This window comes from Homo sapiens, chromosome 18, assembly GCF_000001405.40.
Source record: "Homo sapiens chromosome 18, GRCh38.p14 Primary Assembly".
NCBI lineage: Eukaryota > Metazoa > Chordata > Mammalia > Primates > Hominidae > Homo > Homo sapiens.
The window spans coordinates 13,622,828-13,637,268 of NC_000018.10; the positions used below are offsets into that span (position 1 = coordinate 13,622,828).

General features: G+C 50.1%; 1 protein-coding gene across 51 annotated transcripts in view, besides 2 other annotated features; it reads left to right on the top strand.

Annotated features, from left to right (window-relative positions):
- The window catches only part of LDLRAD4 (low density lipoprotein receptor class A domain containing 4), a 435,073-nt gene that overhangs the window by 405,146 nt on the left and 15,486 nt on the right, over positions 1–14,441 (top strand). The window lies entirely within an intron of this gene.
- Positions 383–882: an enhancer, noted in NCBI's record as "H3K4me1 hESC enhancer chr18:13623209-13623708 (GRCh37/hg19 assembly coordinates)". NCBI's record gives its function as "activates a minimal SCP1, AML or CMV promoter by ChIP-STARR-seq in primed H9 embryonic stem cells {active_cell/tissue: H9 hESC(primed)}" and the evidence as "EXISTENCE:reporter gene assay evidence [ECO:0000049][PMID:30033119]".
- Positions 3,288–3,788: an enhancer, noted in NCBI's record as "H3K4me1 hESC enhancer chr18:13626114-13626614 (GRCh37/hg19 assembly coordinates)". NCBI's record gives its function as "activates a minimal SCP1, AML or CMV promoter by ChIP-STARR-seq in primed H9 embryonic stem cells {active_cell/tissue: H9 hESC(primed)}" and the evidence as "EXISTENCE:reporter gene assay evidence [ECO:0000049][PMID:30033119]".

The window sequence follows — 14,441 nt, forward strand, 5'->3', positions numbered from 1 at the left end:
GCCACCCCTGGACTTGGTGGAAACAAGCACAGCCTTCCTTGGCCTTCTCTCCAGGAGCTCCAGAACGCTTGGGGTCTCTGTGCGCAGGCACACAGGGAGTTTTCTGTCCCCTGCCTGGGCGCTCCCCAGTCTTCCTCCCAGACTTGCCCTGGTGTTGGCTTCTCTCTCCCTAGTGTGGGTCAGGCAGCTCCTTGCTCTGTTCCTGGTGCAGACCCAGCCCCGCTTGCTGTCCCTGTTCATAGCACCTTGTGTCCTGAACACCAGCACACTGGCCACACCCTTACCAACCAAGAGGCCCAGCAGAAAAGCAAAAAGTGTCAAAAAAGTGTCTTCTGTGTCATGTGGCGGCAGATTTGTGTGATGCCCTTTCCCGGGAAGCGCTGGCTGCCCCACCTGCAGAGCCTCCCTTCCCTGAAATCAGGAAGGTGACAGAGCGATGTTCAGAGGTCCCTTCAGGGCTGCACACTGCGTGGCAGGTGAAGACATTCGGCAGCCAGTGAATTGTGTCCACACAGTGGTCCACATCCCTGTCTGGGCCTCGTTTTGTTAATGTGCACATACAGTGTTCCCCCTGAGAGCTCCGTTCTGGAGCTGAGCTGGGGCTTGCAGAGATCCGGCTGCACCGAGCTATTTCTCCTTTTTTTCTGAGTAACCTGGAACTGGGAGCTGTCCCTCCTCGAGGTGTGGCTGTTCCTCCTACGGCTTCAGCGTAGCTTAGCAAAGGACTCTGTGTGATGTTTCATAAAACACAAGATGCATTCCAGCACGATGACCAGAGGCAGCTCGGCCCAGGCCCTTGCTCCACTTCCCGATCTGGTGTATTAGCCCAGTTGATGGTTCCCCAAAAGAGAAAAGAGTGGCAGCTGATGAGGAAGAAACCTCCATTCTCTCCTGGACACAGACTCAGGCCTTGCTAATACTATGGGTGTGGCCATGCTATCCATTTCCCTCTCTCTGCCCTGAGGGTCCCCTAACCCAGGTCCTCTCCACCCAGGAATGCCCCCACGCAGCCAGGCTTCCTGCCTCCTAATTCCCTACTTCTAACTTCTTTTAAGAAATGCCTGTTCCCCGTATACAGTATTAGGGGAGCGATCTGATTCATTTACACTCAGCTCAGGAGTCTCGATCAGGGCTGATTCTGCCAAATGTCTAGGGGACATTTGCAGTGTCTGGCATCATAAGGGGGAATCCTACAATGTGTCCTACAGTACGCGGGCGGCCCTGCAACAAAGACTCATCTGTACAGTGCGTCCTACAGTGCACAGGCAGTCCCGCAACAAAGACTCATCTGAGTGGATGTGAGCGGTGCTGAGGCGGAGGAGCCGGCCCCACCAGGTGCTGAGCACTGCCGGACCCACCAGGTGCTGAGCACTGCCGGACCCAGGGGCACTTCACTGTAAAAGAGGCTGCCTGTTACCATGAGGGGGTCTCTCTAGGCTGGCTCTGAGGCATCCACAGAGCGGAGAGCTCTTCCCAGCAGTACGAGTTTGGGGTCTGGTCTGGGACTCTGCCTTGGGAACAGTTTCCCCAGTGACTCCTGCCTCCTCTGCTCATCCAGCCATTCAGTGGACACTCCGCAGGAGCCAGGCACTGAGTAGGAGGGGGAAACAGTGGCCATGCCCCGCCTCCGCCACCAGCAGCACCTGCAGTCCCCTGGCGGAGGCCAAGACCCCGCTGCCATTCTCTCCATCTTCCTAGGGGAGGCTAGGGGTCTGGCTGGCCGATTGTGCCTTTGGGATGGGGGAGTGTCAGGCGTGGGAGCTGTAGGAGGTGTTTGGGGCAGGTATGAGGACCTGTGTCTCCTCCGTCCCCATGCCTGGCCTGGCCCATGTGCAGTTGGCGAGGGCAGTTCCAAGTTCCCCGCCTTCCCCATCCCTAGGTGACCACCTGTGTCAGGAAGCCCCCTCCCAAGGGGCTTGGAAGGGGCTGGGAAGGCACGGCTGGCTGGTCAGCATGGCAGGGAGGGCCCTGTGCCCCCTGGCAGAGCCTGGCAGTCCTCTGTCTCCTGGGCTCCCTGTGCTGCTGTGCAGGCCTGTGCTCCAGGGCAAGGCGGCTGGGGAGGATGAGTGTGTCTGGGCAGATGCTGCCATCCTCATGGCTTCTTTCCAGTTATCAGGGCCCCTGCAAGCCCCTAAGCACCTCTTCCTTTCTCAGCACCAATGTCCGAGGCCTTTCTCCTGCAGCACCCGAGGCCCTGGGAGTCCAGGCCCTGGCGGCGGCTCAGCACCCTCCAGTCAGCAGCTGGGGTTGGATGCTCCTCCTGTCCCCTCTGTGGAGCGCAGCCTCATTAGGAGCCTGTGCATTGTTGGGGAGCCTCCTGTGAGGGCCTGTTTGTAGAGACCCACCCCAGGGCTCCATGAGCACATTAGAAAATGATGTTCTATTTAAACCTGGTGTGAGAAGTGCTGGGCATTGAATTAACCAACTTCTAGGTGATTAGGCTTCACACTCTGATTAAACTTACTGTTACGTCTTTCTGCTGGAAGCCTGGAGAGTGGAGGTGGAAACATAGCTTGGGGCAATAGGATGGGAGTGAGTTTTGGTTTGGAGGAGGAGGATGAGCAGGCCAGCAGCCTTACTTGGCTGAGGAAGCTTCCCGCCCTGCTATGAGCGGCCCCTCGCCTCCTCTACAGGTTTTCCACTTTGACCACAAGGAAGGGCCAGACCAAGCTTAACCAGACAGCATCACTGTGGCCCTGGCTTCTCTGCTTCTTGCGGAGAGTCCCGTTCTGAGAAGTGGTGACTGCCCCGCTGCCTTCTCTGGCCCCTTCCTGAGGGAGTGCCCAGCTCAGCCAGTTCTGGTCCCTGTCCCATAGGGTGTGCTCCTGTGCAGGTGCAGGTGAGGAGCCGCAGCCGGCGCCCTCCTCCCCCCGCCAGAGGCCTCCTCCCCCTGCCAGCACCCTCCTCCCCCCACCAGAGCCCTCCTCCCCCTGCCACCACCCTCCTCCCCCCGCCAGCACCCTCCTCCCCTCAGCCGGCGCCCTCCTCCCCCCGCCAGAGCCCTCCTCCCCCCACCAGAGCCCTCCTCCCTCCACCAGCAACCTCCTCCCCTCTACCAGCATCCTCCTGACACTGGCACCTTCCTCCCATGTCCCTTGGCCTGGGACAGTGCATGCTGCATGAACGTGATGGGTGTCCCAAAGCCAGTCAACCTTTGTCGCCATGCGGTAGACACTGTGTGTCCCAGGGGGGCCCAAGGAATGGATGTTACTGGGCCTGAATGTGGTGGAAGTAGTGATTTCTGGATGAAAATGAAAACTAGCAACTCAGGTGTGAATTACATCACAGACAAAGCAAATGCTTACATCATAGCAGATAGCAGCGGCGGGTCCGGATCTGCATCCTTGTGCATTCTTGCTGAGGTAGCCTGAGCTTGGTTTCTTTGGAGCCTGGTTTGTGTGACTTCTGAGCATTGAGACTGTCTAGATTTCTTTTCATTATCTTAGACCATTCAGTAATGGGAAAGCAGTAAAGGGGCATGAATATTCTAGACACAGCCCGGAGAGCTATTTGAACAAGTTGCTGGAACATTTCTTGCTGGAGCTGAGGGAGCCCAGGTGACCTTTTCTGACTGCCAGCAGCCTGGCCCAGAGGGTCCAGCCTGGCCTGTGTGGACAGCCCAGGGGTAGGGGATGGCATGCAGGCAGAAGGGTCTGGCCATCAGCGGATGGAGGGAGAGGCAGGAGAGGGACAGGGACCTTTACCCAGATTGAAGCATATGAAATTGTTAACATTCAGCCATTTTGACCTATAGAAACAGCAATTTCAATTTAAAAAATTAACAAAAGGAATCACATCACACATCTCTTCATTATCAACTCCTACAGGGATTAAATCGATTGTGAAAATCCAGGTGCCCATTCTTCATAGCCAGGAGGAGCAGCCAGGCCCCACCCAGCACAGCTGGGCTCCTCCAGCTCCCTGGGGTTGACACTGGGAGGGGCCCTGGCTGTTGCGGAGGAGGACAAGCACTTGGTGGCTGTCAGCCCTCTTGATGCAGAAACTCATGCTCCTCAGATCCACAGTGCCCTGACATGGGGTGAGCTCTCCCCACAAGTCCCTCTCTGCAGAAGCCACAGAGTTAGCCTAGAGCATGGCTGTGTACCTGGTTTGCCCCACAGGGTGTTCGAACCTAAGTTGATCTAGCTTTTAAAAATTGGGGCTGGGTGCGGTGGCTCACGCCTATAATCTCAGCACTTTGGGAGGCCGAGGTGGGCAGATCACTTGAGGTCAGGAGTTTGAGACCAGCCCAGCCAACATGGTGAAACCTTGTCTCTACTCAAAAATACAAAAGTTAGCCAGGTGTGGTGGCACGTGCCTGTAATCCCAGCTACTTGGGAGGCTGAAGCAAGAGAATCTGGAGGCAGAGGTTGCAGTGAGCTGAGATCACGCCATTGCACTCCAGCCTGGCCGACAGAGGGAGACGCCATCTCAAAAATAAAAAAATAAAAAATAAAAATTGTGAGATTTCACATGAAAATTGGAGTTTCCATCTTCTCTTGAAAAAGCAGCCTATGGGGCCACACCCTGAGGCTGGGGCTGTGAGGTGGCTGCCATGGAGTGGGCCTGTGCTGCCCGGGCTGTCACCTGTCTCTCGCTGGGGACCCTTCAGTGCCGGGCAGCAGCATTGCCATCTGTGGGTTTGCACGTGGGGGTTGTTTTTCAGAGAAAATTTTCTTCTGCACTCAGGCTTCTATTGCAAGGCTGAAGACCAAGATAGACTGAGAGGGCCACTGGTTCCCAGAAAAATGGGTGAGAAGGTCCTTGTGGAAGTAAATACTGTTCCTGCCTGGTTAGGAGTTGAGACACGTGTCTGGGTCAACAGTGCTGTGCGTGTCCTGTGCCCAGCCTGACATGGTCACTCGTGGCCACTGCTGTCCAGTCATCTCCCCAGGCAAGGCCCTCCTCTGTGACTAAAGCTTATAGCCAGAGGGACAGAGGTGGCCATGGGCTCCCCGCTCTCTGAGGCTCGGCCCTGCACCAGCAGCCTCTCTGCTGGCCTTGGGAGCAGCGGTGGCCAGAGGGCAGACGGTCCTGGGCAGGTGTCTGACAGCCAGGAGCCCGCTGTGCTGGGGCTCAGAACTCACAGTGAGGGGACCTCTGGGTGTGCCATATGTGACGAGTGCCTTTCTCTACCTGGGCAGTGTCCCTCTACCCTCCCCTGCAGATAGAGGCTCTGAGGTGGGCCCCAGGCTCAGGGGTGTTTGAGAAACCCACAGGCAGTGTCCTGGGATCCCTCGGAGGGCACAGGGAGCAGGGGTTTCAGCGCCACACTGTTCATTCCCACTGCGGCTGGAGCGCTGGCTCGCTGTGCCCTGCTGCTCTCACTCCTGCCCACCTCATACGTTTAGAAAAGCATGTGGAAAACGATGGAAAGGAATGATTTTCAGTAAGGCTTGAAGGAGTGGACTAAAGGGCTTACTGATGCAGTTGTACTCGGTCTGCCTCTGACACTCCAGACTAAAGAAAAGAGCCACAGGCTTCCTCTGGCATCATTGTGGGGATGAACCGCAGGGGACCGTTTCCCTGCAGGCAAGGCAGACCCTGCTGCACCACAGACCAGATGTGTGTGTTTGTCGGTTGTCCAGTGACAGCTCTCCGTTACTGCATTTCACGGAAACTGCATTTCCAAGAGCTTAGGGTCCGGCGGGTTGGCCGCAGCATGTCTGTCTGAGTGAGCAAGGACTTCCAATTATCAGGCTGCCCAGGTGGTCATTTGAAAGGTTTTGCCCTTTGCTATGTCTAATTGAAGCATTAGAGGATAGACAATTTCACATCACCTCAAAATGAGAACATCTCCCTTCAATTAAGGGAAACAGGAGGCCAAGCGGCCCGGCAGAAACTGCATAAGGATGCTGGACCCCAGCTGCACGCAGATTCCCACCTGAACCACAGTGGGCAGAGCTTTGGAAGAGTCAATGCTTATCTTTAAAGTGACAGTGTCTCAAATAGTCCTTCTACTGATGTTGGCACTGCTCAGAATGTTTGGGAATTACCTTCAGGTTTTGGGGTTATTTTTAAGTGACAAGATCTCACTTTGTTGCGCAGGCTGGAGTATAGTGGCATGATCATAACTCACTGCAGCCTCGAACATTTAGGCTCAACTGATCCCCCTGCCTCAGCCTCCTGCGTAGCTGTGACTATAGGCACGCGCAACCATGCCTGGCTAATTTTTAAATTTTTTGTAGAGACAAGATCTCACTGTGTTGCCCAGGCTGGTCTTGAACTCCTTGCCTCAAACGATCTTCCCACTTCAGCCTCCCAAAGTGCTAGGATTACAGGCCTGAGCCACTGCACCTGACTGGGTTGTTTTTATTTGTTTGTTTGTTTTTTTAATCAAGGGAAATTTTTTAAAAGCTTCTCCACAATGGCAAATCTTCCTTTGCAAAGAGCAAATAGTTTTGCTCTTGGGGATAGATTTGATTTTTGGTACCAGCCAAAATCCATTTAGAGTTAAGTCTTGTTCATTATATGGGTGATCAAACCAAATGATACAATTTTGGTGCAAAGGCAAGCACGACTCAATTAGTGAGACTGACGTCCGAGTTACAAACTGATCTGTAGAGAAAGGTCAGGAAGGACCCACAGCAAACTGACAGCTGTGCCTGGGAAGGAAGTAAGGACAAAGGAACACTGATCTGTGCAGTAAAACTTTTATGGTAAGAATGTATTCATGTATTACCTTTGCAATTACAAAACATCCTCTGATCATGTAAACTGATGCTAAAGGCAGTAATGTTCTGGGCATCTATAGACTCCCAGAGTAATTCATTTGAACATGGTTTCTATGGTGGCTAAAATAATAATTTTAAATAAAATGTATGAACATTTTTATCAACAAATTTATAGTAATCTTTTAAATATATAAGGTATTAGCATTAATAATCTAATAGTAAAATCTGTTGGTTTATTTTTTGCTTAGTCCTTGAAAGTTGGTGTGGTTTGTTCTGAAAAAAAAAAAGAGAAGAAGATTAAAAATTATCTTAATGATCATAACTCTGGGTGGCCCCTGTTGGGGAGGCTCACCAGGCTGGGGTCTGGCTCTTGGCAAAGCCCCAGCAGCTCTGTGACCTTGGGTGAAGGTCACAGAAAATCCCCTCTGAGCTCTGACTTCTTCTCACATGTGAGACGAGGCAACTGGTGCTGAAATCAGGATGATGCCTGCCTGGATCTTGTGTGGTTCCACATTTTCCTGCTGCCTGGAACTTTCTCATTCCCAGGCTGATTCCTCTTGAAGTCCGATTGCTCACTAACCCCAGCACCAAGCTGGGAGAGGCACCTCATATTGCTTTTCCCCGCTAGCCCATTGCATTGTCCCAGAAATAGAAAGGATTCCCTTCCTTTTCTTCCAGCAGACCTTCCTAGATGATTTGTCTTTTCTCTTAAGGGACGTGCCCTAGATTGAGCAGAGTTGGGGGATCTTGAATCTGAGAAGTCTGATGATGGATTCCCCAGGAGGAAGAAAGGGGGAGGTGCAGTCTCTGACAGCCAGGGGTACTGGCCTCACATCCAGGCTGTGACTGCCATCTAGAGTGGAAAGGACGGTAGTGATAAAATATCAGGATGGTGGAGAGGCTGCATGAAAAAAGGGAGAAAACAGGGAAAATTGATTTTATCAGAAGGCAAAGGTGTTGCTGAATATCCAAAGATCAATTTCACCTCTTCTTTGAAATTCTCACTGTGGAACAGGGGAAAAATAGATTTCCAACTATTTGAGGCCATAAAATACATTCATTCACTGGGAGGTTAGCCCTTGGGTAGAATCAGAATACCCAGCAGTAGTCTTGCTTTACCGCAGACTGACCGAGGTGCCTAGAGAGGAATATGCCCTCTGTCCTCAGTTTCCCCCCATCTAAAATGAGGGATAACTGGCTTCATTCGGAGGCCTTCAATCTGTATCTTGCCATGAAGAACAGTAAGAAATACATTTTATATCACAACACAAAAGCCTCCTATAATGCAATTAAGGCAGAGGTTTTACAAAACAATACTTACAGTGTGCTCAGATCATTTCTGTTCTGTTTCAGTTTTTGGAATGCTGGCTGTGACCCACTTAAATGGATTTTCCAGCTCTCTAAGAGGCTGCAAAGCACATGGTGGAAAACACTGTGTTCAGTGCTCTCCCTGGTTGTTTCCAGTCCCCACATCTGATCATTCCTGGGGTCCTCTGTGTGTGTGTGGAAAGGAGAGTGTAGCTGAGAGCATAAGCCCAGCAGGGTTCGGGCGTGGTGTGGCCTTGCACACGTGGACGCATGGCAGCAGGCGACAGCCCATGGTGCAGCACAAGGGAACCCTCAGTAAGTCATGGCTGCAGACGACTGTCCTTTAATAATATGAGATGTACTGGTTGGAAGAAAAATGATCCAATAAATACAGAAATGAAAAGGATTATAAAATAGTGCTACGAACAATTGTATGCAAACCAATTGGATAACCTAGATGAAATGAAAAGATATTAGAAACAGCCTACCAAGACTGAATCATGAAGAAATAGAAAATCTTAATAGATCTATAGCTAGTAAGGAGATTGAACCAATGGTCTAAAATCTCCAACCTGGACCACATGGCTTCAGTGGTGAATTCTACCAAACATTTAAAGAATTGACATCAATCCTTCTTAAACTTCTAGAAATTTCAAGAGGTGGGAACACTTCCTAACTCATTATGAGATGAGGCCAGCATTCCTGATACCAAAGCCAGACAAAGACACAGCAGAAAAAGATAACCATAGACTAATATTTCTTATAAATATTGATGCAAAAGTCCTCAACAAAATACTAGCAAACTAAATTCAGCAGTATATTAAAAGGGTTATACTGGCTGCGCACAGTGACTCACACCTGTAATCCCAGCACTTTGGGAGGCTAAGGGAGGCAGATTACTTGAGGTCAGGAGTTCGAGACCAGCCTGGCCAACATGGTGAAACCTGTCACTACTAAAAATACGAAAATTAACCAGGCATGGGGGCACGCACCTGCAATCCCAACTACTCGGGAGGCTGAGGCAGGAGAATCACTTGACCCCGGGAGGCGGAGGTTGCAGTGACCTGAGATCGTGCCACTGTACTCCAGCCTGGAAGACAGAGCGAGACTCTGTCTCAAAAATAATAATAATACTAAATAAAAATTAAATTTAAAAAAGTAAAAGGATTATACATCATCAACAAGTGGGGGATTTATTCCCAGAAGGCAAGGATGGTTCCATACATGAAATTCAGTCAGTGTCATACACTACATTAACAGAATGAAGTTGGGGGTCCCAAACTTCATTCAGCAGGTCCCAAGTTCTTGTCCCACAATCATCTCAGTTGATGCAGAAATAGTATTGTCACAGGATCCTTAGGGTGTCACTTCGCCAGTCAGAAACCTTTGTGGCTGGTGGTGCCTTCTGCCTGAGTATTGCTCATGCCCACTGGGCTCATCCTGCCCACTTCCCCTGGCAGGCTGCGCTCAGCTCACGTTACTGGCCCAGATCCCACACCTGCCAAGGGCAAGCCAGGCACAGAATGGTGAGGGGTGTGTGAGCAAGTGAGTGCAAGGTCCAGCCACTGTGCACAGCCAGGTGCGCTGGTTGCTGCAGCAGGGCAGGCAGCTCCAGGTACTGGCACAGGTGCTTGCTCTGTGCAAGGCTGCAGCTGGACCAGATACACTGCATGCAGCATCCACTGCAGGCACTTGCGTCTGGATGAGGGGAATGTGATGGTACCCGGAAGCTTGGAGACACCAGGAACTGCAGAGTCCCAAAGATGGTGTCACAGCCCTGGCCAGGAGAACCCTAGGTCTGGGCTGCCCTAAGGGTCACAGCTCTTCTTTCCTTCTTGTCCCCCACAGTGTGGTGAGTGGAGGGGCATGTTTCAGCCCTGTTTATGTTACAGCTCTTTTAGTCCCACCATTCGGCCAGTCACAAGTTCTTGTCCCACATCCAAGAAGAATGAGGTACATGGACAACTGGTGGGTGAGAAGTTGGAGAGAAGCTTCATTGAGCAACAGAACAGCTCTCAGGAGACCCAGACTGGATAGCTCCTTTCTGTAGGCAGGTCATCCTGATGTCTGTCTGTCCAGCTCAGATCAGAGAGGAGACCCACAGTGGGTAGCTCCTTTCCCCAGACAGGTCATCCCAATGTCTGTCTGTCAATGGGTAGCTCCTTTCTGTAGGCAGGTCATCCTGACGTCTGTCCAGCTCAGAGCAGAGAGGAGACCCATAGAGGGTAGCTCCTTTCCCCAGACAGGTCATCCCAATGTCTGTCTGTCAATGGGTAGCTCCTTTCCTCAGGCAGGTCATGCCAATAAGTGTCTAGCCGTCAGTGGAGAGGAGACCTGCAGTGAGTAGCTCCTATCCACAGGCAGGTTGATCCGATGTCTGTTCAAGTCAAACTGAATCCAGGATTTTTAATGAGCTCAAAAGGGAGGAAGTGCATGCTGATTGGTCCATGGACGGCCACAGGCAGGCCCAGAAAAAGCATCCTAAGTTCTTACTCTGGTCTGTGGACTCCACTCAGAACTGACAGCTTGGCCCCCATGCTTTAGGCCATTCCTGGCTTGAAGGTGGGGCTTCAGCAGGGACCTGCCCCTTTTTGCCCAGGAGCCTGTCTGCCTCCTGCTGCCATCAGTCATGTACACGGTGCCCAGGCTGTTGGTGTCAAGGGGCACCTGCAGGCCCACACCAACCCACCCTCAGCCCACCCCTGCCTCAGCCTCCCACTGATGCTCGTCAGCACCCAAAGTCCGGAGGGGGCTGAGGTGGCAGGGGGCTGGCATATCAGCGCTGCCCCAAATTGTGACACACCTGGCCAAATTGTGACACACCTGGCCAAATTGTGACAGTGCCCAGGCTCAGCCTCAGCTTTGCTCCAAAATTGGAGCAGGCAGCAGGAGCGGGGAGAAGCCAGGTAGCAGGAGCAGGCACTTCTGAGCCTGCAGGGGCAGGGGACTTCGCTAGGACCCTGAGAGCACAGGGATGCCCTGGGTCCGCAGCTGCAGCTTTGTGACTGCAGCTGCACCCAGGAGGGCAGGGCTCCTGCCCTACCAACTCAGAAGAGGGCAGGGCTCCCACCTGTTCCTGGCTCTCACCGGCTCCGTGGAGCACACAGCCCTGGCCATGCCTCCCCTGCTGCAGCCAGCATCTTCACAGCAGCTGCTCCAGATGGGCCACCACTGCCATCAGTGTTTGATGAAATTCAACATACTTTCATGATAGAAACCCTCAACAAAGTAGGATGGAAGGAAGCTACTTCAACATCATAAAGGCTATCTATGAAAAGCCCACAGCTTACATCATACTTAATGGTAAAAGACTGAAAGCTTTTCCTGTAAGACCGGGAACAAGACAAGGATGCCTGCTTTCACTACTTCTGTTCAACATAGTATTAATTAGACATTCTAGCCAGAGCAATTAGGCAAGAAAAAGAAATAAAAGACATTCCAAGTGGAAAGGAAGAAGTAAAAGTATCTGTTAGAAGATGACATGACCTTATGTGTAAAAACTCTAAAGATTCTATTTTAAAAATAACCCAAAAAGTGTCAGAACTAATGAATTTGGCAAAGTTAGCAGGATACAGAATCAACATGCAAAAATCAATTGCATTTATTTTCATGTACAATGAACAATTCGGTAAGGAAATTAAGAAAATTCCATTTTCAATAGCATCAAAAAAAGAGAATACTTAGAAATATACTTACCCAAGGAGGTGAAAGACTTGTGCACTGAGCAATAGAAAGCATTGCTGAAAGAAATGGAAGAAAATACAAATAAATGGAAAGATATCTTGTATTCATGAATTGGAAGACTTAACTATTTTTAAGATGTTAGTACTACTAAAAGCAGTGTACAGACTTCAGTGTAATCGCTTTTGAAATCCCAATGAGGCTTTTTGCAGAAATAGGAAAAATAATCCATCCTAACGTTTATATATTATCTCAAGGGACCCTAAATATCCACAATAATCTCAAAAAAAAAAAAAAAGATTTGAAAAGTTAAAGGTCTCACAATTCCTGATTTCAAGACTTACTACAAAGCTGTAGTAAGTTTTGTAGTGTGGTGCTGGGATATAGACAAATATATAGACCAGTGGAATAGAACAGAGAGTCCAGAGATAAACCCTCAAATATATGGTCAAGTAATTTTCAGAAAGGATGCCAAGGCCATTCAATGGGGAAAGGACAGCCTTTTCAGAGTGGTGATGGGGGATCTGGATAGCCACATGCAGAAGAGTGACATTGGACCCTTATAACATATTCAAAAATTAACTCAAATGGACAAAAATATAAACATAAGAGCTAAAACTTTGAAATTCAGCCTTAGTTTGACTGCTAGAACAAAGTACCGTAGACCGGGTGGCTTATAAACAGCAAACACTGATTTCTCATTCTGGAGGTCAGACATGAGAGACCACAGTGCCAGCACGGTTGGGTTCGGATGAGGCCACTCTTCCCGGTGGCAAACTGCCACCTTCTCTTGTGGAAAGAGCTTGCTAGCCTCCAGCCTCTTCTTATAAGGGTACTGGTCCCATTCATGAGGACTCCACCCTCATTACCTAATTACCTAGCAAAGATTCCACCTCCAAATACCATAACATTGGAGTATTTCCCATCTCCCCCCAAAAAAGTGCCAAATGGTCTGATGTAAAAGGAAAAAAATTCAGTCACTGTGCTCCAGATCTGCAAATTGCACATCTTGATTTTCAGCACCATAAAGACAATCATTTGGAAGATCCGGTGATATTTTTTCTCTTTAATGCAAATGTTTTGGTGTCAAGCAGATTGAATTTGTGGGGAGTTTTCCTGTTAGTGTGGCTGTTCACTGACCATTCAGAAGGAAGAAAATGTGAAACAGATTGCTCAAGTGTAAAGGAGTCTGAAAATGTCTGTCCTCAAGCCTGCAAGATTTGGAACCGTTCTGCGTCCCTTTTCCATAGATATAGGAATAATAAGTCTGGATTCAGTAGAGTCATTTGACCAGCCAGCCCCTCAGGGTGGTCCCTGGGTCTGGGCAGCCATGCTCTCCGGAGCTGCCCTTGGGGGCAACTTCCAGGGCCAAGCCAGAGAGGCCAGAGCTCTAGACTAACGTTAGAGTTCCAAGTGTACGCAGCAGAGAAGACAGCTATGCTGTGTGTGTGTGTGTGTGTGTGTGTGTGTGTGTGTGTGATTGTGCCTTCTGTGGATATCGGCTAGGGACTGTCTCAGGAAAGCCTCTGCCTTTGGCGTGTTTACTGCTGTCAAAACCCTGCCCACAGCCTTATAGACCCCAAAGAAAAATGTTCTCATCCTACTCAGAGATGTTCAAACAGGAGTGATTGTCTGACAGTGACTACACTCACAGGAGAATGACAAACAGCAAGGCCCAGCTGTCCCTTGGTACCCTCAGGGGATTGGTTCTAGGACCTCCAAATAACACCACAGTCCCAGCATGCTCAAGTCCCGCAGTCTGTCCTGCTGAACCCATGGACAAAAAAGGTCGGCCCCTCCGTATGAGAGGCTTTTCCATCTCATGAATACACATTGGGTTGAAAAAAATCTGCGTTTTAGTGGAACAGCCAGGTTTAAACACATGTTGTTCAACGGTCCACTGTATTCATTCACAATACAGATTTCATTTTAGAAAAAAAAAAAAAGCCCAAAGGAAAATAAAGACTTTTCACAAAGTTGAATGTTATAAAGTTGTTTTTGTTTTTGTTTTTGTTTTTGTTTTGAGATGGAATCTTGCTCTGTCGCCCAGGCTGGAGTGCAGCGGCGCGATCTCTGCTCACTACAACCTCGGCCTCCCAGGTTCAAACAATTCTCCTGCCTCAGCCTCCTGAGTAGCTGGGATTGTAGGCGTGCACCACCGTGCCCAGCTAAATTTTTTTTGTATTTTTAGTAGAGACGGTTTTTCACCATGTTGGCCAGGCTGGTCTTGAACTCCTGACCTCAGGTGATTTGCCTGCCTTGGCCTGCCAAAATGCTGGGATCACAAGCGTAAACCACCGCACCCAGCAATTTTTTTTTTTTTCGAGATGGAGTCTCGCTCTTGTCGCCCAGGCTGAAGTACAGTGGCATGACCTCGGCTCACTGCAACCCCTGCCTCCTGGGTTTAAGTGATTCTCCTGCCTCAGCCTCCCAAGTAGCTGGGATTACAGGCACCCACCACTACACCCGACTAATTTTTGTATTTTCAATAGAGTCAGAGTTTCACCATGTTGGCCAGACTGGTCTTGAACTCCTGACCTCAGGTGATCCACTCACCTTGGCCTTGCAAAGTTCTGGGATTACAGGCATGAGCCACCGTGCCTGGCCTAAAGTTTTTTTTGTTTTGTTTTTGTTGTTGTTGTTGTTTTTTACCCCATCCACTGCCTCCCTATGTGACCTCATGACATCAAGAAAACAGTGCATGGTGCAGATAATCTCTGCTGAGGTTTGTAGTCATGGTGACTGCCTCGGTGGGAAGCTGACTGCCATGCTGGGCTA